Here is a 26613-nt window from a genome sequence, read left to right on the forward strand (position 1 = left end):
CAAGTTCAAGTGATTCTCCTGCTTCAGCCTCCCGAGTAGCTGGGATTACAGGCACCCGCCACCACGCCTGGCCTAATTTTTGTATTTTTAGTAGAGACAGGGTTTCACCGTGTTGGTCAGGCTGATCTCGAACTCCTGACCCTCGGTGATCCACCTACCTTGGCCTCCCAAAGTGCTGGGATTACAGGCATGAGCCACCATGCCCAACCAGTTTTTTTTTTTTAATGGTCTTGTTTACTTTTTGCTTTATTTTGGAAGTTAATAGTTATTTTTTTTCTATGACAAAATTGGGAATATTTTTGTAGCCGCCTTTTTTTTTCTCTTCTTGAGAAGGTAGTGAGTACATTTAAACAGATGAGATTTTTCCATTTCCAGAGTCTCTATTGCATTTCCAAAGGGAGTATGTAGGCAGAGAAGTCCAGGCTGAGACGCTCCCTGCAAAGGCTCAGGTAACTTAGGCCATTATTTCATATGATTCAGTAGTTCATTTCCTGTTTTTCAGTAAAAGGATCATTTTCATTTGCTCTGTCCAGAGGATCTCATCTGCTTCTGTCTTAGAACTGTTTTTTGTTTGTTCTGAGACAGAATCTCACTTCCGTCACCCAGGTTGGAGTGCGGTGGGCACAGTCATGGTTCACTGCAGCCTCGACTTCCTGGGCTCAGCTGATTCTCTCACCTCAGCCTCCAGAGTAGCTGGGAGTACAGACACGCACCACCACACCTGGCTAATTTTTTAATTTTTAGTGGAAACGAGGTCTTACCCTGTTGCCCAGGTTAGTCTTGAACTCCTGGGCTCAGGTGGTCTGCCTGCCTCGGCCTCCCAAAGTGCTGGGATTACAGGTGTGAGCCACCTTGCCCAGTTGCAGAACTGTTTTCTGTTTTTTGTTATATTTTTCTGTAGCCCAGCCTCTCTAGTGTACTTCAGCTATGTGAGGTGCTAAATTTACTAACAAGATATTTTCTATTTTTTACCCTTTAGATGAGGTAGGGACTGAATGTATGTCATTGAACTTCCTTAGAAACTTGTATTTTCACTCTTATTTTATACTAGAAAATGTTAGAGATTTAGGCTGGGCGCAATGGCTCACCCCTGTAATCCCAGCACTTTGGGAGGCTGAGGCAGGTGGATCACTTGCGGTCAGGAGTTTGAGACCAGCCTGGCCAACATGGTGAAACCCCATCTCTACTAAAAATACAAAAATTAGCAGGGTGTGGTGGTATGCATCTGTAGTTCCAGCTACTCGGGAGGCTGAGGCAGGGGAATCGCTTGAACCTGGGAGGCGGAGGTTGCAGTGAGCCGAGATCGCACCACTGCACTCCAGCCTGGGCGACAGAGCAAGAGTCTGTCTCAAAAAAAAAAAAAAAAAAAAAAAAGCCTGGGCACAGTGGCTCACGCCTGTAGTCCCAGCACTTTGGGAGGCAGAGGCAGGTGGATCACAAGGTCAGGAGTTCAAGACCAGCCTGGCCAACATGGTGAAACCCCATCTCTACTAAAAATACGTAAAAAAAAAATTAGCTAGGTGTGGTGGCAGGCGCCTGTAATCCCAGCTACTTGGAAGGCCGAGGCAGGCGAATTGCTTGAACCTGAGAGGTGGAGGTTGCAGTGAGCTGAGATTGCACCACTGCACTCCAGCCTGGGCAACAGAGCAAGACTCCGTCTCAAAAAAAAAAAAAAAAATTGAGATTTAGATAAAACATTAATTTAGCAAGCTCTCTCAATAGTAGAGAAGGACACTACATTTTATTACTTATCAAAAAGTCATCTTATGAATAATTCTTTCAGGGTTATCTGAAAAAGTGGGGAAAGAAAATGTATTGAAAATATTAGTGTAGCGAATTCTAGATAAAATTAGAATTGTATTTTAAAATTTTTATGGTATTCTTGATAATTCTTCATTGGTAAACCTATTTTTGTTTAGGAAATCATGAAAGTTGTTTGAATTCATATATTCAGGAATCAGGAAAGTTCTGGTAAACCTCAGAAGCAAACATTTTTAGTTATGTAATAATTGGATGTTATCTTTTTCTTCTGTCAATTATCATACTATTGAAATTTTGGAAGTATTTATATTTACTTTAACTGTGCTCCTTTAAGAGCACAGAGATAAATAATTGACAGGAAATCTCACTAATATTAGGGGAATGTCTGATAGTGTGTAACAGACATGCCCAACCATAAACAATTTTTTGTGTTTAAATAGTTTAAGCTGGGCTTACAGGCTGGCTTTTTGGTGAGTTCATGTGTAAAAATGAATAAAACAAGTTATAGCATTTTTGGTTTTACTTTGTATTTTGTATTTATTCAGAATGATTACATTATGATTTCTGTTAAATGGTTCTGTTAATGTAATGATTACATTGTATTTTCTGTTGAGAGAATTGCATCAGTAGTCAGGACATGGTGTGCTAACTGAAATTATTGTAATGTTCAATTGATACGATATTGAACAAACTGTACACTTTTATTGGAATTACATAGTGAAGGGTCCTTCTAGTATATTTAGGCTTTAGAAGAATCAGCCAAACAAAGCATGATCTACTTTTAGGCTAGATAGACATATGATAACTCTTATCAACAGACTTTTTTTGAGACAGGGTCTCACTCTGTTGCTCAGGCTGAAGTACAGTGGCACTATCATGGCTCCCTAAAGCCTTGACCTCCTGGGTACAAGCTATCCACCTGCTTTGGCCTCCCAAAGTGCTGGGATTACAAGCGTGAGCCACCTGGCCTGGCCATCAACAGATTTTTCTTCTTAAAAATAAGTCTTATGTTAACTGGGACACAAAAATTAAATCTTTTGCTATATCACTCATATTCTGTTCTTGTGTTACCACATACTTTTTTGAAATTAAAAAGTGTTTAGAATGATAGATTATTGAGCACTGGTATATTGAATTAGAGCTCAGGTCCAGTTTTTCTAAGTTATTTATAATAATATTTGTAAATGTCTGGCAGTTTTCTTTAGAAAAATTTAATTCTTCATATGCTCCAGGTTGTATTGTGCTACTGGACGCTGGTCTTATGGGAATGAATTATTTACTGTTAGTTTTTGTTGTTGTTTTCAAACGGAGTCTTGCTCTGTTGCCCAGACTGGAGTTCAGTGGCACTGTCTCTGCTCACTGCAACCTCCACTTCTTGGGTTCAAGCAATTCTCTTGCCTCAGCCTTCCAAGTTGCTGGGACTACAGGCACGTGCCTCCACGCCTGGCTAATTTTCATATTTTTAGTAGAAACGGGGGTTTGCCATGTTGGCCAGGCTGGTCTTGAACTCCTGACCTCAGGTGATCCACCCACCTCAGCCTCCCAATGTGCTGGGATTACATGTGTGAGCCCCTGCACCCAGCCTACTGTTAGTTTTTTTTTTCTTTTCTTTTTTTCCCCTCCGAGACAGAGTTTGACTCTTGTTGCCCGGGGTAGAGTACAATGGCGTGATCTCAGCTCACTGCAACCTCTGCCTCCCGGGTTCAGGTGATTCTCCTGCCTCAGCCTCCCGAGTAGCTGGGATTACAGGCGCACGCCACCATGCCTGGCTAATTTTTGCATTTTTACGCTTATTTTTTTTTTTGTCTTTTTTTTTTCTTCCTTTTTGTGGGGAACGGGGTCTCACTATATGCCCAGGCAGGTCTCAAACTCCTGGGCTCAAGCTATCCTCCTGCCTCTGCCTCCCTGAGAGCTGGGATTACAGGCGTGAGCTACCGTGCCCAGCCTAATTTTTGCATTTTTAGTGGAGACAGGGTTTCACCATGTTGCTCAGGCTGGTGTCAAACTCCTGACATCAGATAGATGATCCACCCACCCCAGCCTCCCAAAGTGCTGGGATTACAGATGTGAGCCACCGCACATGGCCTACTGTTAGTTTTGATCTGCCTAGTTACAGAAGTTATGTTTGTTTATTTGTATCATCAGTAATCTAGAAGTTATATATATTTATATGGGCTGTTAGATATGTTTATATGGCTCCACCATTGCAGCTCTTCATGACTGAGAGCCAAAGATAGGTACTTCTGACCTACAACCCTTCTTTTTACAAATTATGATTATTATAATTTGTAATGAACTGTGCTAGTAGGCTCTATTTGCAAAGTCATATTGACATGTTGTGGCAAATTGGATCCAGTAATCATTTAACTGACTTAACTAACTACTGCAATGTCATACCAACCTTGATTTGAAAATATCTGATTGTAGTATCTAATGATTGACCTCTTGTATCTAATGATTGACCTCTTGGAGTAGTGATTTAAAAAACAACAACAACAACTTCATTGTACTTGTTAGTAAATTATATGCCAAATCTTTTACCTTTTGCATTTTTTAAAGGTGGAATTTTTTTTTTTTTTTTAAGACAGAGTTTCGTTCTGTCGCCCAGGCTGGAGTGCAGTGGCGCAATCTCGGCTCACTGCAACCTCCGCCTCCTGGGTTCAAGTGATTCTCCTGCGTCAGCTTCCTGAGTAGCTGGGATTACAGGCACATACCACCACACCCAGCTGGTTTTTCTATTTTTAGTAGACATGGGGTTTCACCATGTTGGCCGGGCTGGTCTTGACCTCCTGTCCTCAAGTGATGTGCCCGCCTCGGCCTCCCAAAGTTCTGGGATTACAGGTTTGAGCCACTGCACCCGGCCTAGATTATACTATTAATTATTTATTTTCTATCATTTGGTTTTTAGTTGCTTAGAGTTTCCTAATGTGTAAAACTTGTTTTATGTATCAAAAGTGTTTTGACTCCAGTTGGGATGTGAGTAGCTATTCTAAAGTACAGGTGGAAGCAAAAATATCTGTTTAGAACAAGTAAACAAAACACATTCCATGTTGTGTCTGTACACAATTTGCTTTATTGTGAGACTGGAGAAAAAACTAGGTACATATTTTTAATAAGAAAATATACTTTATTCTTGAAAGCTTTGCTCTTTGGCGCTTACTCAAAAATAACAATGTTATTTATACTTTTTAACAGAGACTTACAAATAAGTCAAATTTATGAACTAGTGGATCTTTTTAACTTACTAATGGTATGAAGACATACTTTTGAGACATTTGGAGAATAAATTATACATTTACATAGGTTAAAAGTTTTTAAAAATCTTCCATTGTAATAAAACAAACTTCCCTTTATATAAGCACCATGATTTTAATGATTTTAACACTAGTGTCACATGCAATGCCGAGAACTAACAATATGGGATGGTTTTCCTATAATTTTAGGATTATTTCCATTCAATACTTGGACCTGGAAACATCAAAAAAGCTGTCGAAGAAGCTGAAAGACTCTCTGAAAGCCTTAAATTAAGGTACAGATATTATGAAATATTTAAAATAATGTAAATTTAGAAGATAAAAATAATATTTAAGATTTACCGATTTATATCTGACGATTCATATAATATTCCAATTTTTTTTTGAGACAGAGTCTCGCGCTGTCTGTCGCCCATGCTGGAGTGCAGTGGCGCGATCTCGGCTCCCTGCAAGCTCCACTTCCTGGGTTCACGCCATTCTCCTGCCTCAACCTCCCAAGTAGCTGGGACTATAGGCACCCACCACCACGCCCGGCTAATTTTTTGTATTTTTAGTAGAGACAGGGTTTCACCATGTTAGCCAGGATGGTCTCGATCTCCTGACCTTCTGATCCTCCTGCCTCGGCCTCCCAAAGTGCTGGGATTACAGGTGTGGGCCACCATGCCTGGCCCCAATATTTCTTTTTTTTTTTTTTTTTTTTTCTGAGACGGAGTCTCACTGTTGCCCAGGCTGGAGTGCAGTGGCGCGATCTCAGCTCACTGCAGACTCCGCCCCTGGGGTTCACGCCATTCTCCTGCCTCAGCCTCCCGAGTAGCTGGGACTACAGGCGCCCGCCACCTCACCCGGCTAATTTTTTGTATTTTTAGTAGAGACGGGGTTTCACTGTGTTAGCCAGGATGGTCTCGAGCTCCTGACCTCAAGTGATCCGCCCGCCTCAGCCTCCCAAAGTGCTGAGATTACAGGCGTGAGCCACCCGGCCCCAATATTTCTAATTTATAATATTTGTAAGTTTCTGGCATTATTCTTTAGAAAAATTCAATTCTTCATATGTTCTTTGGTGGATTCTGCTCCTGGATACTGTGCGTATAGGAATGAAGTATTTACTGTTACTTTTGATCTGCTTAGTTACAGAAGTTATTTAAATTTGGAAAAAAAAACTGATTCTGGTATTTGCCATGACTTGCTTACCAGGTTTACAAAAATAATTACAAAACAAAAACAGTATGTTTCAGTTTTTAGTCGTTAGTCATTCTTTTTTTTTTTTTTTTTTTTTTTTGGAGACGGAGTTTTGCCTCTTGTTTCCCAGGCTGGAGTACAATGGCCTGATCTCAGCTCACTGCAACATTTGCCTCTCAGGTTCAAGTCATTCTCCTGCCTCAGCCTCCTGAGTAGCTGGTATTACAGGCATGTGCCACCATGCCTGGCTAATTTTGTATTTTTAGTCGAGACGGGGTTTCTCCATGTTGGTCAGGCTGGTCTTGAACTCCTGACCTCCGATGATCTGCCTGCCTCGGCCTCCCAAAGTGCTGGGATTATAGCCATGAGCCACTGTACCCGGCCATTAGTCATGCTTTAAAATTTAAATTGTTTCCCTTATCAACAACATAATGCTGTTATGTAGATCCTAGTAGATAAATTTCTGCCTGTATCTGTAGCATAAAAAATGTTAATAGATAAAACCAAAAGCATTCTCAGCAATATGATACAGAAGGAGAGAACAATGGAACTGGTTTTAAGTGATACAAGGTGCCAAAGCCTGGTTAGTGAAAAACAGCAAACTGAGAGCTGTTTGATGCAAATAATAAATAGAAGGAGGAAACTGAAAGATTTAACCAGGGTGACATATTTCTTTACTGGCTTGAATTTTTTTTTTTCACTAAGAATGTATCATGTTACTTGTATTTAAAAATATTCTGACCAGGAGCAATGGCTCAGTCCTGTAATGCCTGCACTTTGGTAGGCCCAGGCGGGCGGATTACTTGAGGCCAGGAGTTTGTGACCAGCCTGGCCAACATGGTAAAGCCCCGTCTCTACTGAAAATGCAAAAAAAGTTAGCCGGGTGGGGTGGCAGGCAGCTGTAGTCCCAGCTACTCAGGAGGCTGAGGCAGGAGAATCGCTTCAGCCTGGGAGGCAGAGGTTGCAGTGAACTGAGATCTTGCCACTGCACTCTAGCCTGGGCGACAGAGTGAGACTCTGTCTCAAAAAAAGAAAATAACTCTCAACTTATAAAGGAAGTCATTAAGAAAATGATTCATTATTTAGATATTTACTTCTTATGGCCTGATAGAATGGCCCATCTTTCAGTGTAATAAAGTCCCTGTTGCTAAATAACCTCTGGGTCCTTTCCAATTCTAAGGCTTTTTAAATGTACTTTGAATTTTCCTCTGTATAGGTTATTTTGCAGCTAGATGTGGAGAACCTTTTCACTGTTTTTCTCCCTGTCTGTCCTCTCCCAGCCTCCTGCCCCATGTTGGTGTCTTTCATGGACATTTAGAGCAACCCTGTGTGAACATATCTTCATATCTGTCCTGTCCTAATTCTGTAATAAGTCAACCACAAAGCTCTTTTCCTCCTTTAAGTCTCTGAAATCTGCATGACTAGAATTTCTCTTGTCAGGCCGGCAGTCTGAGAATGGGCATGAGGGAGGGTATATGCTCTCTAGGTTTGGAGAATAGATTATAACTTTAAAGTGAAAGCCCTTAACATCTTGGGGTAGATTTTCTGCTAAATTCTGCCTAATCATCTGATGTCATGGTCTATGACCACGGAGGCGTGTGTGCCGAGTGGGGTCCGTGGCCTGCTGGCCCCTGTCCTAGGGGTGGCCGCATGGTCCCAGGTGCGGCCGCTATAGACATAGCCCCAGATTCTGAAAAAAATGCTTTAGCAAAAAGACCTAGTGAGTGGCTAGAAAATAGATTTCAGTATCACCTGCCATTAAGGAATACTTGTTAAGCATTTATTTGCCTGTCCCGTTTCTTATTATTATCTTTTTTCATGGACACCTCTCATAACATAGACTTAATCCATTTCTGTTACATTCATGTTAGGGGAGGTCTTAGAGGTAATTTTGACCAAATCTGGAAGTATCAGAATCCTAGTAAAAGGGATTAAGTGGGTAAAAGGATCAGAAGTTAGTTTCAGAGAGCATGCCTCGCTCTCACTTCAGCTTACCAACTGAAATTGGAAAGTAGGAGAGACATCAGCTCTATTTAATTAGATTTATGGAGACTGTAGAACAAATCCAAGGTAGGGGGTAAGGTGTGGATAAGAGAAGAAAATAGGAAAAAAGAGAATCTTAAAGTTTTTTCATTTCTGCCCTCAAATTGGATTTAGGCTGACTGTGCTTACTTCTTAGGGCAGACAGTTCACATACTGTTCCAGCATAGAGCACTACTAGAGAAGAAATATAGAGCAGTAGGTAAGTGTACGGAGCCAGACTCCCTGGGTATGGATCCCAGTTTTTTTCTTATTAATTGTGTGAGCTTGGGCAAATTACTTAGCCTCCCTCTGCCTCAGTTTCCTCATCTGTAACTAGGATAATCATAAAACCTACCTCATAGTGCATTAAGAAAATTAACATTTACAAACACTTAGATGGTGTCTGGCACATACCAAATAATAAGTTTTTGTGCTATTATTTTCGTTGTTATTAACAGTGGAAGCATTCTTGTTCTGTAACACCTTTCGTCCTGGCACTCTAGTGATTTGCATTGAGGAGGCAAGGTAAAACAGTTGCATAATTTTGCTCTTGTTCCAAATCTTTCACTTCTGTTTCTAACAGTGAAATGATGCTAGCATATGAGATAGGCAGGAAAGTGGTGTTGATATTTCCATAGAGATAATAGGAATACATGCTTGCTATTCTGTGACCAAGTTCTTAACACAGTGCAGTAGAGAAGTGGGGGAAGTGAGCATACCAGTAAGCAAGGTCCTGCTGGAGATTTGAGAATCCATTATCCCTGGTTATTGCCTAAGCAGATGGAATATGATGAAACATCTGTTTTTGTAAAATTCTATCTGAAGTTACTCTGTTTTTCTTTTCTCCTCTCACATCTATTGATGGGTTCATCATTCACTTTTGTTCCATTTATTTTATTTTAACACACTGATTTTCATAAATCTATTGTTTTCCCAGTAGAACTTTATAATTTATTTTGAAATATTTTCTAATTTCCCTTTCTTCCTTGACCCATGGGTCATTTAGAAATGTGTTGTTTAATTTCCACATATGTGGGATTCTTCTTATATCTTATTGATTTCTAATTTAATTTCATTGTGGCTAAAGATGTTGCGTCCTTTTAAATGTATTCTTGTTTTATGGCTCAGCATATGGTCTCTTGGTGAACGTACCATGTGCACTTGCAAAGAAAATGTGGTTGTTGAATATACTGTTCTCTATATGTCATTTAGGTCAGAATGGCTGATAATGTTCAGATCTTCTTTATCTTTACTGACTGTGGGATGGGGGTTCAAGTTGTAACAATTACTGAGAGAGTCATGTTAAAATATTTAACTGTATCTATTTATGCCTTTAGTTCTCTCAGCTTTTGTTTCATGTATTTTGAAATTCTATTTTTAGGCACATAGTTACAGTTTCTTGATGAATTGACCTTTTTATCATTATGTCCCTCTTTACCTCTGGGAATATTCTTTTTTTTTTTTTTTTTTTTTTGAGACAGGGTCTCACTGTCCTGAAGGCTGGAGTGCAGTGGCATGATCTTGGCTCACTGCAACTCCCGCCCCCAGGTTCAAGCGATCCTCCCACCTCAGCCTCCCCAAGTAGCTGGGACTACAGGCGCACACCACCATGCCTGGCTAATTTTTGTATTTTTTGGTAGAGATGGGGTTTTACCATGTTGGCCAGGCTGGTCTTGAATTCCTGACTTCAGGTGATCCGCCTGCCTTGGCCTCCCAAAGTGCTGCGATCACAGGCGTGAGCTACCACACCCCGCCCTCATCTTCATTCTTAAGGGATTTTAACTAGATACAGGATTCTAGGTTGGCAGGTTTTAATTTTCCCTTTTGTCACTTCAGAGCTGCTATTCCACTGTCTTCTGGCCTCCATTGTTTCTGATATTAAGCATTTTTCTGCCTCATTTTTATTTTCTTGCTGGAACTCCAGCTCTACATACGATAGACTTTTTGATTTTGTCCAATGAATCCCTAAGGATTTGTTCTTTTTATTTTGTTTTGTTTTGTTTTAATCATTTTCTCTTTGTTTTTCAGATTGGATAATTTTCTTTTCTTTTTTTTTTTTTTCAGATGGAGTCTCACTCTGTCTCACCCAGGCTGGAGTGCAGTGGCACACGATCTTGGCTTGCTGCAGCCTCCACCTCCTGGGTTCAAGCAATTCTCCTATCTTAGCCTCCCAAGTAGCTGGTACTACAGGTGTGTGCCACCACACCTGGCTAATTTTGTATTTTTACTAGAGATAGGGGTTTACCATGTTGGCCAGGCTGGTCTCAAACTCCTGACCTCAGGTGATCCACCCACCTCGGCCTCCCAGAGTGCTGGGATTACAGATGTGAGCCACCACGCCCAGCCTGGATTGAATAATATTTATCACTCTTTCATCCTTTTTTTCTTTTGAGACAATGTCTCACTCTGTTGCCCAGGCCGAAGTGCAGTGGCATGATCCCAGCTCACTGCATCCTCAAACTCCTGGGCTCAAGCAATCCCACCTCAGCCTCCTGAGTAGGTGGGACTAAAGGCACACACCTCTGCTCCTGGCTAATTTTATTTTTTATAGAGATGGGGTCTTTCTGTGTTGCCCAGGATGGTTCTCCCTTCAAATACTGACTCTTTACTTTGTCATCTCCAATTTTGTGTTGAGTGAATTTTTTTCAGTTATATGTTTCAATTCTAGAATTTCTTCCTTTTTTTGAGACAGAGTCTCACTCTGTTGTCGAGGTTGGAGTACAGTGGCGTGATCACATCTCACTGCAACCTCAGCCTCCTGGCCTCAAGTGATTCTCCCGCCTTCACCTCCTGAACAACTGGAACTACAGATGCACACCACCAGGCCCAGTTAGTTTTTTTGTGTTTTTTTGTAGAGACAGGGTTTCACCATGTTGCCCAAACTGGTCTCAAGCTCTGGGCTCAAGCAGTCCTCCTACCAGGGCCTCCCAAAGAGTTAGGATTATAGGCATGAGCCACTGCGCCCAGCCCAATTCTAGAATTTCTGTGTGGTTCTTTTTTATAGCGTCTATTATTTTTTTACAGAGATTTCCTATTTGTTCATTTATTACAAGCACATTTTCATTTACGCCCTTGAGCATAGTTATAACAGCTGCTCTAAAATCTTTGTATGCTAAATGCATCATCTTAGAGTCAGTGTGCAGCACCTTTTCTCTTTTATTGTTGTCCTATTTTTCTTTTTTTGGTACTAGTAACTTTGGACATTGTGAACAATAAAATTATAGGCTCTGCATTCTTCTTTAGTCCTCTGAATAGTTTTGTTGTTGTTGTTGTTGTTGTTTTGTCCCACTAGGCAGTTAACTTGGCTATACTCAAACGTTAAGTTTTCTGTCTTGCCTATGGTAGGTGGCAACTGACATTCTTTTCAATTCTTCTAAACTTAGCTGGGCTCCTTAGTATCTGCTGCAGGTGTGCTTAATTCAGGTGTCAGGTGGCAATTTGGGCAAGTCTATACAAAGAATTTGGAACTCTGGTTCTCTGAGATTGGGGTCTTTATTGGAATTTTAGCTGTTTTCAGCAGTAAGGCCTGCCTTAGGTGTGAAACCATAAAAAATGGGAATCTTACTAATGCCCTTCCTTTCTTTCAAGTGTCAACCCCCATCTACTTTCTTCCTGATTATGGCAGTTTTCCAATGCCTTCAGGTAGTTATAGGTTACCCAGAGTTTATAGTTGTCTGTGAGAGGTTCAGAACAATGGAAACTACTAAGTCATTACCAGAATTAGAATTCTCTTTCCTACCTTTATTTTTTAAGGCGAAAGGATAGCATTTTTAAAGTAGAGTGTCGTGATCACCATGTTCCTGTCAATATTAGTGATCATTTCTGTCAATGGAATACATAATTCAGAAGGAATTGCTAAGCGTAAAGATAGAAACTGCTTAGGCCAGGCGGGGTGGCTCATGCCTGTAATCCCAGCACTTTGGGAGGCCGAGGCAGGTGGATCACAAGGTCAGGAGTTCAAGACCGGCCTAGCCAACATAGTGAAACCCCATCTCTACTAAAAATACAAAAATAAGTAGCTGGCCGTGGTGGTGGGAGCTTGTCATCCCAGCCACTCGAGAGGCGGAGGCAAGGAGAAACGCTTGAACCTGAGATGCAGAGGTTTCAGTGAGCCGAGATCCCACCACTGCTCTCCAGCCCAGGTGACAGTGTGAGACTCCGTCTCAAAAAAAAAAAAAAAAATTAACTGCTTAATGGCCGGGTGTGGTGGCTCGCCCCTGTAATCCCAGCACTTTGGGAGGCCGACGAGGGTGGATCACTTTAGACCAGGAGTTCGAGACCAGCCTGGCCAACATGGTGAGACCCCTTTTCTACTAAAAATGCAAAAATTAGCTGGGCACAATGGCATGCGCCTGTAATCCCAGCTACTCGGGAGGCTGAGGCAGGAGAATTGCTTGAACCTGGAAGGTGGAGGTTGCAGTGAGCTGAGATCATGCCTCTGCACTCCTGCCTGGGCAGCAGAGCGAGACTCTGTGAAAAAAAGAAAAAGAAAAAAAAGAAAAGAAATTAACTGCTTAAATATTTAGAGGAGAAGCACTGTTTTCCTTATATTTCTTCCACTTGAGGAATAGCACAGCTTTGTGTGACATGCTAATTTCTTCTCCAAGAGCTAAAGATGTAATTCTTGCTAAGTGCATGAATGATCTTATTGATAGATGGCACGTTTTTGGTCACTATTAACATGATGTTGAAAATGTGTGGTACAAAATAATTTTGAGTTCAGAAGTCATTTTTAAAGTAAACTTAAAATTTTAAATATGTGAAGCTGGCACAGTTATTTGAATAGTCACCATTTCTATTGTATAGTTTTATCTGTTTATTTAGAAATTTTTCATTTTGGAATATTCACTCAAAAGAGCATATAAGACCAGGTGCGGTGGCTCACACACCTGTAATCTCAGCCTTTTGGGAGGCCGAGGCAGGTGGATCACCTGAGGTCAGGAGTTCGAGACCAGCCTGGCCAACATAGTGAAACCCCACCTCTACTAAAAATACAAAAATTAGGTGGGTATGGTGGCACACACCGGTAGTCCCAGCTACTTGGGAGGTTGAGGCAGGAGAATCGCTTGAACCCAGGAGGCAGAGGTTGCAGTGAGCTGAGATCATGGGACTGTACCCCAGCCTGGGTGACAGAGTGAGACTCTGTCTCAAAAAAGAAAAAAAAAAAAAAACAGCCAGCCACGGTGGCTCACACCTATAATCCCAGCACTTTGGAAGGCTGAGGCAGGTGGGTCACCTGAGGTTAGGAGTTTGAGACAAGCCTGGCCACATGGTGAACCCTGTCTCTACTAAAAATACACAAATTAGCCAGGCATGGTGGTGTGTGCCTCTAGTCCCAGCTACTCAGGAGGCTGAGTCAGGAGAATTACTTGAACCTGGGAGATGGAGGTTGCAGTGAACCGAGATCATGCCAGTGCACTCCAGCCTGGGTGACAGAGCAAGACTCTGTCTCAAAAAAAAAAAGAAAAGAAAAGAAAAAAAAAAGAAAAAAAGAGCATATAAAATGTAAAGATACAATAAAGAGAATAATAAAATGGAAACTATTGATTCGTCTTTTACTAATTATTGACCCTAGTCAATTATTTATTTTTTTCCTTTACATCTGTTTTATCTTCTCTCTCTCTGTCTTTAAATTTGAAGCTCACAGACATTGCCAAGCATTGATAATTAGGGCAAACAAGATTGCAGGTCTATGATAACGTACAGTCTGTCCTGGCAATAATAGCAAACATTGCCATTCGTTCATTTATTTATTTATTTAGAGATGGAGTCTCACTCTGTTACCTAGGCTGGAGTGCAGTCACGTGATCTCGGCTCACTGCATCCTCCGCCTTCCCAGTTCAAGTGATTCTCCTGCCTCAGCTTCCCAAGTAGCTGGGATTACAGACATGCACCACCACGCCCAGCTAATTTTGTATATTTAGTAGAGATGGGATTTCACCATGTTGGTCAGGCTGGTCTCGAACTCCTGACCTCACATGATCCGCCTGCCTTGGCCTCCCAAAGTCCTGGATTACAGATGTGAGCCACCGCACCCAGCCACCTATAATTTAGTAGGGAATAGTTCTAAATTCCTCAGATATCTGCTAACTGTAGTTCAGATAGCTGTTTAACTGCCAACAAGTTGGAAATTTCAGTGAAGTCATCCTTTAAAAAAATGTAACTTGGGACCTTGGTAAGACTTTCCACAGCTTTTTGAATGTTTGTTTTCACATTTTTATTCTAAATTATCAACATAAGTGTGATATTTGGGCTGTTTCTTTTGCAGAAAAAATTAGGATTTTTCCTTTGAAAAGCAAATTGCAGCAGATTTGAATCAATATAAAAGGTTGAAATTAGTAGGAGAGAAAGAGCAAAAAGCACTAAATAATTTCAACTTGAGAACATACAGTTTCTTTTTAATAGTTCTGGGCAATTTGAAGTAAATCTACAGATGGCCTCAGGTGGCAGATGTGTGAATTGTGGTGGAGGGAGAAAGCATATAGCCATGAAATACCTCAAGGCAGGATACTAATTTTACAGAACTGAAACTCCTTTAATTTCCACGATTAACGCCAATAAAAGACAATCTTGACTTATTTTTTCAACTAGATATGAAGAAGCTGAAGTCCGGAAAAAACTTGAGGAAAAAGACAGGCAGGAGGAAGCACAGCGGCTACAACAAAAAAGGCAGGAAACAGGAAGAGAGGATGGTGGCACATTGGCTAAAGGCTCTTTGGAGAATGTTTTGGATTCCAAAGACAAAACCCAAAAGGTATTTCAAATTTAATGTGTGAGTTAAAAGACTGTTTCTGCTTGTTAGATGATTTGCTTAAAAAGAGTTGAGATACCACTATAAAGTTCTTTTAGGCAACAAGGATGAAATTTAATGTTTTAATTAGAAATTTATTTAAGGCTGGGCACGGTGGCTCACGCCTGTAATCCCAGCACTTTGGGAGGCCGAGGCGGGCAGATCACTTGAGGCCAGGAGCTCAAAACCAGCCCGGCCAACATAGCGAAACCCCGACTCTACTAAAAATACAAAAGTTAGCTGGATGTGGTGGTGCATGCCTGTAGTCCCAGCTACTCGAGAGGCTAAAGTAGGAGAATTGCTTGAACCCAGGAGGCAGAGGCTGCAGTGAGCTGAGATCGTACCACTCCACTCCAGCCTGGGCAACAGAGCAACACTCTTGTCTCAAAAAAAAAGAAAAGAATTTGAATTAAATATTCTAGCCTCAGTTGACTTCAGATTTTTCTGTGAATTTCTATGGCAATATTTTCTCTGCATTAATTCGTTTTTTAGCAGACATTATAAACTTAATTAGAGCAATAGAAAAATCATTTGAGCTGAGCTGTGATTTATTATATCTGCATTCTGGTCCTATGTCAAAACTTTTTTAACCACTCTGGGACTCAGTTTTCTTGTTTCCCAAATTATAGTCTTGAAATAGACAATTTTTAAGTTTCTTCTTTCTAATCATGTAATTTACATTAAAAGATTTAGTATACTACTTTGTTTGGTACCAAGCCTTTTATCTGTTTCTGAGGTCTCATTCTTTTTCCTTTGCTTTCTCCTTCTTTTTCTCCCCCAGTTCCCCCACCCCCCCCCTTTTTTTTTTTTTTTTTTGAGACAGAGTCTCATTCTTGTCGCCCAGGCTGGAATGCAATGGCGTGATCTCGGCTCACTGCAACCTCTGCCTCCCAGGTTCAAGCGATTCTCCTGCCTCAGCTTCCCAAGTAGCTGGGATTACAGGCGCCCGCCACCACACCCGGCTAATTTTTGTATTTTTAGTAGAGATGGGGTTTCACCATGTTGGCCAGGCTGGTCTCGAACTCCTGACCTCCAGTGATCTGCCTGCCTCAGCCTTCCAAAGTGCTGGGATTACAGGCATGAGCCACCACACCTGGCTCTTCTTTTTTTTTTTTTTTTTTTTTTTGAGACAGAGTTTTACTCTGTCGCTCAGGCTGGAGTGCAGTGGTGCGATTTCAGCTCGCTGCAACCTCTGCTTCCCGGGTTCAACTAATTCTCCTAGGCTTCAGCCTTTTGAGTAGCTGGGATTACAGGCACCCACCACCATGCCCAGCTAATTTTCGTATTTTTAGTAGAGATGGGGTTTCACCATATTGGCCAGGCTGTTCTTGAACTCCTGACCTCAAGCGATCTACCCACCTTGGCCTCCCAAAGTGTTGGGATTATAGGAGTGAGCCACCACTCCTGGCTTCTCCCATTTTTTCACATCTATTTAGTGACTACTTGTGGTCTTTTCAGCTACATCATCTCTTTGCTAAAAGCCATCAGTGACTTAGTCTGTAGCTGCCAGCTATCACCGTACCTCCCTTCCTTTACCTCCTCAGAAACTACTCTTCCTAAAATATAAGTTGAAATCCATGGGAAAATTTCTGCTTTGATTTTTTTCTTAGACATTTTGTAGCTTTCAGTTATCATTCTGTGTGGATCATCATTCCTTTCATTAAAAAGTCGTTGTTGGCTGGGTGTGGTGGCTCACACCTGTAATCCCAGCTCTTTGGGAGGCCAAGGTGGGCAGGTCATTTGAGTCCAGGAATTTGAGACCAGCCTGGGCAACATGGAAAAACCCTGTCTCTACAAACTTTTTTTTTTTTGAGATGCAGTTTCGCTTTTGTTGCCCAGGCTGGAGTGCAGTGGCGCGATCTCAGCTCACTGCAACCTCCACCTCCCAGGTTGAAGCAATTCTCCTCCCTCAGCCTTCCAAGTAACTGGAATTATAGGAATGCACCACCACGCCCGGCTAATTTTATATTTTTAGTAGAGACAAGGTTTCTCCATGTTGGTCAGGCTGGTCTTGAACTCCCAACCTCAGGTGACCCGCCCACTTTGGCCTCCCACAGTGCTGGGATTACAGGCGTCAGCCACCGTGCCTGGCCTCTACAAACATTTTTTAAAAAATTAGCCAGTCATGATAGTGCACACCTGTAGTCCCAGCTACTCAGGAGGCCAAGGTGGGAGGATCACTTGAGCCCAGGAGGTCCAGGCTGCAGTGATCATGCAACTGCACTCCAGCTTGAGCATTAGAGTGAGACCCTATCTCCAAAAAAAAAAAAAAAAAAAAGGTCTAAGTGGGTCCTTTGTTTCCCCATGGATAAAATGAGTTAGTACCATACAGGATTATCCCATGTTGTCTTGGTTAAAAAATGTAAACTACATAGGCCGGGCACAGCGGCTCATGCCTATAATCCCAGCACTTTGGGAGGCTGAGGCAGGCATATCACAAGGTCAAGAGATCAAGACCAGCCTGGCCAACATAGCAAAACCCCATCTCTACTAAAAATACAAAAATTAGCTGGGCGTGGTAGCACACGCCTGTAATCCCAGCTACTCAGGAGGCTGAGGCAGGAGAATTGCTTGAACCTGAGAGGCAGAGGTTGCAGTGTGCCAAGATGGCACCATTGCAATCCAGCCTGGCCACGGAGCAAGACTCCGTCTCAAAAAAAAAAAAAAAATGTAAACTACATAAGCAATACTTTGTATTAGTTCATTTTGCTTTAATTATGTGGTGGAGGACACTGAATGGGATAGCCAGAATTTTTGTTTGATTGTAAGAAGTACTTTCTAATCAAATTAAATATTAAATTTCTGTAGCAGTTTGTGCTGTTAAATTATATTTGGTCTTTAATTGAAGTAAATTTTGAGGAAATGTTCTATGATTCTGAAAGATTGCTAGTTATTTTAGCTGTTGTCTACTGCCAAAGAAACCTTTTAATATCATTATTATTCGTCTGCGTTTTTATAAAAGGCCAGTACTCTGCACAGTTCGTTTCTTAGAGTTTCCATTTAAGAGAAGTAAATGAAGTATTAAAGTTGAATTTTTTGTGTCTATGAAAGTTGAAACTTTTTTTTTTTCCTATGCAATAGAGCAATGGTGAAAAGAATGAAAAATGTGAGACCAAAGAGAAAGGTAAGTGTGTACAGAAGGAGGAAGTTGTTTTAGGTTCTGACTGAGATCTTTTAATCAGAATAAGCATCAGGTTTTATACAATGAGATTCTTAGCATTGTTGTCTAATCTCTATGTAAGCTTTATCATTTTTCCTAGTCTGTACAATTATATTGAAAATGTCTGAGGTTATTTTTATGTATTTATCATGGGGGGATATTTTATGAATAATTTTAACCTTACATGTTAAACTGGTCATATGCAGTTGAAAAATGTCAAAACCAAAGCTTGTACTTGTTTTCTTTTCAACATGCAGTTTAGCAATAATGGTTAAGAGCATGGACTCTCAGAAGTCAAACTGCCGGAGTTTGAATACTGGTTCCTCCTCTCCCTTTCCGCCTGGTTTTCAGAATGTTGCTTAAACATTCTACCTTTGTTTCCTTGTCTGTAAAGTGGAGATAATAATAGTACTTATTTCATAGGGTTGTTGTCAGGGTTGAATGAGCTAATATATGTAAATTCTTAGAATACATGGTAAACTTTAAGTAGGACTTATTATCATTTATGACTAGGTTGTAGATTTAATTTTTTCTCCCCCCATCCATCCTGTGGTCAAAGACTAAATTATTTAACAGTCATTTACATCCCCCATAAAAAAAAAATCGAGGCCAGGCGCAGTGGCTCATTCCTGTAATCCCAGCACTTTGGGAGGCTCAGGAAGGAGGATTGCTTGAGCCCAGGAGTTCAAGACCAGCCTAGGTAACATGGTGAAACCCCTGTCTCTACAAAAAATACAAAAATTAGCTGGGTGTGGTGGTGGATGCCCTTAGTCCCATCTGCTCAGGAGGTTGAGGTGGGAGAATTGTTCGAGCCCGGGAGGTTGAGGCTGCAGTGAGCCACGATCACACCACTGTACTGCAGCCTATGACAGTGAGACCCTGTCTCAAATCCAAACCAGTAATATGGAAATTATCCATAGGTGGCGTTGATGCTCTAGTGACAAATATGTGACCTAAACAAGACTTTGGAATTCCTCTTCATCTGCTAGAGACGTTTTCCTCTCTCAGAAAAGGTTTACCTTGTCTACAGCCATACCACCTAACGCGCCCGATCTCGGGAGCGAAGCAGGGTCAGGCCTGGTTAGTACTTGGATCAGAGAAAAGGTTGAACTTAAACATAATTATAGGTAACAGTAAAATAAATTCTCTACTTAAAATATTGCCATACAACAATTACAAAAGTAAACTGAGTGTGCTATAAGGTACTTCCCTAAAAGCTGTTACTGATTCATTCCAAGATTAGTTTTTATGCATTTGTTCCTTTGTATGTCATCCTGCTTAAATGTTGTCCTTCTCAGTGGTTTGTTAACAACTTTTTTAGTCTGTTTTGTTAGCATACACTTGATGGCTAGAGATGGAAGGAGGACGATTGTTAGCAGCTATAGGTCTTTTAGCATAGGAGCTACTGAGACTACTTTTCTTCTCACAGCTCACTGCTGAAACAGCTTATTATATAATCTCAACTCTCTTGTAGTGCCTTTTAATCTTTCACTTCAGTAGAGCTAAGGAAAAATAGTAACATAGGGAATATTTATTTTGACAGATTGCTGCCCTCCCCCAAAAGTAAATAAATTAAATATTGCATTAGCTTTACTTAGTTTCCTTTTTGTTAGCCTTCTTAGAAAACAAAATAATCTTTTTTCCTTCTGGCTGGGAGCTAACAAATGAACATCAAGTAGAATGACAATTGGCAAATTTTTCTTAAAGGGATAGATGGTAAACATTTTAGGCTTGGGGAACCTTATGGGCTTGGAGAGTCCTGTGGTCTCTGACACAACTATTGATCTCTGCTGTTGCAGTATGAAAAAATGTGTAAACAAACTAGTGTGGCAGTGATCCAGTAAAAACAGATGGCCATAGTTTTTCAACCTCTGATGTAGAATAGCAAGCTTTTGACTTGTTATTCTAAGAATACTTGGATATCTAAGTTTTTCAAAAAGCTACCGTAAGACTGCCATCAGAGACCTTTTGAATTTAGAACTTTTCCAGAATTTTAGAACCATAGATATTTCTTTCTTCCAGTTAGCATTTTTCTAATGTCTTAATTTTTGAAAACATACTATTTTCCTGAGACACATATATTAATGTTCTTTATTTTATGTTGGTAACAGAGTCAATACCAGGTGTAGCTGTAAACTCAACAGAAAGTTTTGATTTTTAAGTCTTTGTAAACAGAGCATCGAACTGGTTTCTTGATAAATGTTAAAAACACAAGGTCAGGTATGTGGTGGCTCACGCCTGTAATCCCAACACTTTGGGACGCCAAGGTGGGCAGATCGCTTGAGGTCAGGAGTTCCAGACCAGCCTAGTCAACATGGTGAAACCCCATCTCTACTAAAAATACAAAAATTAGCCAGGCGTGGTAACAGCCTGTGTTCCCAGCTACTCAGGAGGCTGAGGCAGGAGAATCACTTGAACCTGGGAGGTGGAGGTTGCAGTGAGCTGAGATCATGCCACTGCACTCCAGCCTGGGTTACAGAACGAGACCCTGTCTCAAGAAAAAAAACAAGTTGTATTTAATGTTAGTTTACAAGATAATAAATGGTATGATGGAGTAGTAAATATGTGGCATCCATATATATTCAGTATACTTTGCTCTTCTAGAAAAAGCGGTTTGTCCTGTGTTTTGTGATGTCAGCACATCTTGTGCTGTTTCTTGTCACTTACACTGTCTCTCTCAATTCCAAGGAGCAATCACAGCAAAGGAACTATACACAATGATGACGGATAAAAACATCAGCTTGATTATAATGGATGCTCGAAGAATGCAGGATTATCAGGATTCCTGTATTTTACATTCTCTCAGTGTTCCTGAAGAAGCCATCAGTCCAGGGTGGGTTATTGTGTAGTAAAGTAGTAAACTGTGTAGTAAGTAGTAAACTGTGGACCTTAGTAAATGTTACTACTTAGCATCCAAGCTAAATGTGATAAAGTAGTCTTTTCCTGGTAACTTTTTAAATCTTTGCCTCTTTTTATGTGTGTGGGTGGTGGGGGAGGGGAGGGGGAGGTACATTTTAGGAGCAGAGGTTTAATAGGCAAAAGAAAGAGAAAGAAGAACTGCTCTCTCACTTTTGAGAGTGAGGGGTGCCCAAGTGGGATTTCCCTAAATCTTTGCTTCTTAAAGACACACTCCACCCTTTTTGAAGGTTGAAGTTACGGATTTGCCAACTTTTGATTTGGCTGTTTTCTCCTATTGGTGGTATTTAGAATCTTATCAAAAGAGAAATGAAGTTGCCTTTTCCCTCTCTCCCCAGATGTTTGTTAACTGATTTTTCCTATTATTTTCTGTTTATAAGCATGTGAATCGTATGTACCAAATTGATTAAAATAATGAACTAATTGAATTGTTTTACATACTGAAATTCCCTATATTTACTGTGATACACGCTACACAAATACTTTGTGTGTGCTTAAGTTAAAAGAGTATAGTCTCTGATGCCAGACTCTATTCAAATAACTGTCACTTACTAGTTGCATTATTACTAGGTAGTGACCTAACATTTCTAAGCTCAGGTTTCCATCTGTAAAATGGGGATAATAGTAGAACATATCTTACAGAGGTTTCAGGAGATTTAAATGAGAAACATTATATACACATACACACTTTAGCACAGGTCCTGGCACGAGTAAGGACTTAATTTAAATTTTTTTCTTTCTTTTTTGGTAAGAAGGCCTTTAACCTATGAAATAATTTAAAGTGACTTGCATGGGTATATTGTATATTGGAAATCATGGCATAGTGGCAGAGCTAAACCTCCAGATAAAGGGCTATTTTCACTATTTCGAGCATTCTTATGCAGATCCTATTACCTCTCTTGGTCTTGGTTTAAAATTATATATTTTTAAAATTAGGTAATAAAATCTGTATAGTTCTTGGCATATTGCAGATGCTTGATAAATGTTTGACCTGAAGCGTAGAGTGCTTTGTAAATAAGCTATTTAAAAATTAGAGCTCTTAGGCCGGGCACACTGGCTCACACCTGTAATCCCAGCACTTGGGGAAGCCAAGGCAGGCGGATCACTTGAGGTCAGGAGTTCCAGACCAGCCTGGCCAACATGGTGAAACCCCATCTTTACTAAAAATACTTCAGCCAGGTGAGGTGGCGTATGCCTATAATCCCAGCTACTCGGGAGGCTGAGGCAGGAGAGTGGCATGAACCCGGGAGGCGGAGGTTGCAGTGAGCCGAGATCACGGCACTGCACTCCAGCCTGGGCTACAGAGGGAGACTCTGTCTCAAAAAAAAAAAAAAAAAAATTAGAGCTCTTTGAGGAAGACGCTGTTGAAGGTAGTGCTGAGCTGTGGTCAGCCCGCTCCTGCTCCTGCTGTACTGCTGTTGCTCTCGCAGAGGAACCGGTCGGTCAGGAAGCCGCACAGCAGCCGTGGCTTTTAAAGATGCTGGAAAAACACCCATGGAGCCGGAGATAGCAATTCACTGAATTCGAATCACTCTCTATGAGCCACAGCATAAAATCCCTGGAGAAGGTGTGTGCTGACTTGATCAGAGGAGCAAAGAAAAAGAATCTCAAAGTGAAAGGACCAGTTCAAATGCCTACTAAGACTTTGAGAATCGCTACAAGAAAAACTCCTTTTGGTGACGGTTCTAAGACATGGGATCATTTCCATATGAGAATCCACAAACAACTCATTGACTTGCACATCCTTTCTGAGATTGTTAAGCAGATTACTTCCATCAGTACTGAGCCAGGAGTTGAGGTGGAAGTCACCATTGGAGATGCTTAAGTCAACTATTTTAATAAATTGATTACTGGTTGTTAAAAATATATATATTAGAGTACTCAGTCTAATTAAACATGTGAATATATTCCCAGGATTTGAACAGACGAAGTTATAATTAGTCTTTGGGTAGTCTAGTCTGTATTAATAGAGAGCTGGTGGTCGTTATTACTGAGTTTACATGGAAGTTTCCCAAAATGTGAGATTTGGACTACTATGAAACTCAAGATGATTTTAGGTTGAAGATTAAAGAACAATGAAATGCATACTGAGAAAATTATTCTCTTTTAATTTATGTTACAGTCCTTTTGAGTTAGTTTAAAGGAGTTTCAGTTTGGTGCTAGTATATCTTTTAAATACTTGCTTATCTCTCTTAACTGAAGGGAACAGGTCTCAGAGCTTTCTGTAGGTTACAGTACCTACAACTAGCTGATAGTGATTACTGTATTTTTTCATTATCTATTTTTATTTATTTATTTTTGAGACAGGGTCTCACTCTGTGCCTGGGTTGGAGTGCAGTGGCATGATTACAGCTCACCGCAGCCTTGACCTCCTGGGTTTAGATGATCCTCTCACCTCAGCCTCCTGGGTAGCTGGGAATACAGGCACATGCCACCATGCCCAGCTGATTTTTGTATTTTTTTGTAGAGACGGGGTTTTGCCACATTGCCCAGACAGCTCTCAAACTCCTGGGCTCAAACAGTCCTCCCACCGTAGCCTCCCAGAGTGCTGGGATTATAGATGTGAGCCATTGCACCCGGCCTATCTGTTCTTAAAATTTTAAGCTTTTTATTTTATTGTATTTATTTTAATTTTTTAAATTTTAATTTAATTTATTTATTTTTATTTATTTATTTTTGAGACAGAGTCTTGCTCTGTCGCCCAGGCTGGAGTGCAATGGTGTGATCTCGGCCAACTGCAGCCTCCACCTCCCGGGTTCAAGAGATTTCTTCTGCCTCAGCCCCCTGAGTAGCTGGGATTACAGGCACGTGTCACCTTGCCCAGCTAATTTTTTAATTTTTACTAGACACTGGGTTTCACCATGTTGGCCAGGCTGGTCTCGAACTCCTGACCTCAAATGATCCACCTGCCTTGGCCTCCCAAAGTGCTGGGATTACAGGTGTGAGCCACTGTACCTGGCCTTTTTTTTTTTTTTTTTTGAGACAGGGTCTTGCTGTGTTGCTCAGGCTGGAGTGCAGTTGTACAATCTTGGCTCACTGCAACCTCTGCCTTCTGGGTTCAATTGATCCTCATGTCTCATGTCTCAGCCTCCCAAGTGGCTGGGATTATAGGTGTGCGCCACCACACCCGGCTAATTTTTGTATTTTTAGTAGACACAGGGTTTCACTATGTTGGCCAGGCTGGTCTTGAACTCCTGGCCTCAAGTGATCCACCGGCATCGGCTTCCCAAAGTGCTGGGATTACAGGTGTGAGCCACGGTGCCCAGCCTATTTCTTTTTTAAACTTTTATTTTAGGTTTGGTGGTACATGTGAAGGTTTGTTACATAGGTAAACGTTTTCACGGGGGTTTGTTGTACATACATATTTTATCACCGAGGTATTAAGCTCAGTACCCAATAGTTATCTTTTCTGCTCCTCTCCCTCCTCTTACACTCCCCCCTCAAGTAGACCCCAGTGTCTGTTGTTTCCTTCTTTGTGTTCATAAGTTCTTACCGTTTAGCTCCCATATTCTTAACTTTTAATACATTATAGTATATATACCGAAGTACTCCTGTCTTAAGTGTCTAGCCCAATGAATTTTCATTAACTGAATGCACCCACTTAATTGGCATCCAGACCAAGAAACAATGTTATCATCCCCCCTGAACCCGATATACCCCCTGTAAGTTACTACCCGTATCCCACTGCCCAAGGAAACCACCAGTTTCTGACAGAATATATTCTTTTTGTCTGCTTTTGTACTTTATATAAATGGAATTTATAATATGTAGTCTTTTATATCTGTCTTCTATACCCAACCTGTGTTTGTGACAGTCATCTTTGTTATTGTGTGTAGTTGTAGTTTGTTCATTCTCATTGCCATATGATGTTCTGTTGTGTGAATATAGCGCAATTTACTTAAATATTTTATTTATCTTCAGACATACCTTTTACTTACTGGATATGATTTCGTTTTTTCATGTATTTAGGGCTATACAATTTCCTATTAAATTTATTTAAGTAAAAAATTATTTTTAATTAAATTAATTAAATTTAATAAAAGACAAGTAGAGCAGAGTTGGAGCAGATTGTGAAGATGGTACATAAAAGACAGAAGTTTGAGAAATGTTGGCTGATACTGTTGTTTCCCAAAGTGTTTTCTGTAGAATACTAATCCTGAAAACAGTATTTAGGTAAATATACCCCTAGGGTTGGAAATAGTCTTTAAGAATATCACATTTTATTTTTTTTCCTTCTTTGTTGACCAAGCATCCTTCTGATCTGTGTACATCAGGAGAGGATATTAGTAGACAATATTTTATATTTCTTCTACTTCTTTACTTCCTGGAAGATACAGTAACCAACATTATTATATAGGAACTGGATTTCAAAATTAAAATGATCTTATTTGGTTTTACTTGTGGATAAAAGTTGTACCAGTCCGGCCCAGCTTGCCAGTATCATCAGTTAAATATTGAAATGCCACGATATACTAAGTGCTTTGCTAAGAATAATATGGAGCTCCTTACCCAGAGGTGTAAATCTGTATTATTCACTCATTCAATTATTAAATCCAATTTTTTTTTTTTTTTTTTTGAGACAGAGTCTCGCTCTTCACCCAGGCTGGAGTGCAGTGGCGTGATCTCGGCTCACTGCAACCCCCACCTCCCAGGTTCAAGCTATTCTCCTGCCTCAGCCTCCTGAGTAGCTGAGACTCCAGTCATGCACCACCACTTCCAGCTAATTTTTGTATTTTTAATTAGAGACAGGGTTTCGCCATGTTGGCCAGGCTGGTCTCGAACTCCTGACCTCAAGGGATCAGCCAGCCTTGGCCTCCCAAAGGGCTGGGATTACAGGTGTGAGCCACCGCGTCCAGCTGATTAAACCAATATTCACTGAACACTTTCTGTGGGCTGGGTTACTGTGTTCTAAGTGCTGGGCTAAGCCATTGAACAAACAAAAAATTGTCTTTGGAGCTTTTAACAGAGAGGTGAGATAGGTAAGACGTACAATAAAAGCTTGAAATGTTTAGTTTGTCTTATGTTGAGTGCCTTGGAAATGGGAATATCATGTGTGCGTGTGCATGTGTGTGTGTTTAGAAAGGCCTCACAGAGAAGTTATTAGCAAATCTTGAAGAAATAAGGGAAATGAGTGATGCAGCTATCTGAGGGAAGCAGATTCCAGACAGGGAAAAAGCCAGAGCAGAGGCCCTTAGGGAAGAGCATGCCTGGATGAACCAGGAATAACAAGCCAGTGGCTGGAGCGAGTGAAGGGGGCCAGTAGTTAGAGATGAGGACATTGAGGCTTGAGGGTGTATGTCTGTGGCAGGCCATTGTGAGGACTTTAGCTTTTTTTTTTTTTTTTTTGAGACAGAGTCTTGCTTTGTCGCCCAGGCTGGAGTGCAGTGGCATGATCTTGGCTCACTGCAGCCTCCGCCTCCCAGGTTCAAGCAATTCTGCCTCAGCCTCCTCAGTAGCTGGGATTACAGGCGCCTGCCACCATGCCCGGCTAATTTTTGTATTTAGTAGAGATGGGGTTTTACCATGTTGGCCAG

At 40.9% G+C, this 26613-nt stretch overlaps 1 protein-coding gene and 2 pseudogenes across 3 annotated transcripts in view, besides 2 other annotated features; all 3 read left to right on the plus strand.

Moving 5' to 3' along the window:
• Nucleotides 1–26613, plus strand: part of USP8 (ubiquitin specific peptidase 8) — a 90017-nt gene that overhangs the window by 19791 nt on the left and 43613 nt on the right. For 2 of the 3 annotated variants that reach the window (NM_001128610.3, NM_005154.5), the window contains exons 4-7: nt 5205–5290; nt 14805–14967; nt 18085–18127; nt 20852–20996. In NM_001128610.3, coding sequence (NP_001122082.1) covers nt 5205–5290; nt 14805–14967; nt 18085–18127; nt 20852–20996 — 437 coding nt within the window. The remainder of the gene's footprint in view (nt 1–5204; nt 5291–14804; nt 14968–18084; nt 18128–20851; nt 20997–26613) is intronic. The other variant, NM_001283049.2, reaches the window with a different exon arrangement.
• Nucleotides 642–731: an enhancer, noted in NCBI's record as "active region_9394". NCBI's record gives its function as "activates an Ori minimal core promoter by ATAC-STARR-seq in GM12878 lymphoblastoid cells {active_cell/tissue: GM12878}" and the evidence as "EXISTENCE:reporter gene assay evidence [ECO:0000049][PMID:35858748]".
• Nucleotides 852–961: an enhancer, noted in NCBI's record as "active region_9395". NCBI's record gives its function as "activates an Ori minimal core promoter by ATAC-STARR-seq in GM12878 lymphoblastoid cells {active_cell/tissue: GM12878}" and the evidence as "EXISTENCE:reporter gene assay evidence [ECO:0000049][PMID:35858748]".
• Nucleotides 19186–19303, plus strand: RNA5SP395 (RNA, 5S ribosomal pseudogene 395; annotated as a pseudogene).
• RPS20P34 (ribosomal protein S20 pseudogene 34) lies at nt 22425–22940 on the plus strand (annotated as a pseudogene).

The sequence above is a fragment of the Homo sapiens genome, chromosome 15 (genome assembly GCF_000001405.40).
Source record: "Homo sapiens chromosome 15, GRCh38.p14 Primary Assembly".
NCBI lineage: Eukaryota > Metazoa > Chordata > Mammalia > Primates > Hominidae > Homo > Homo sapiens.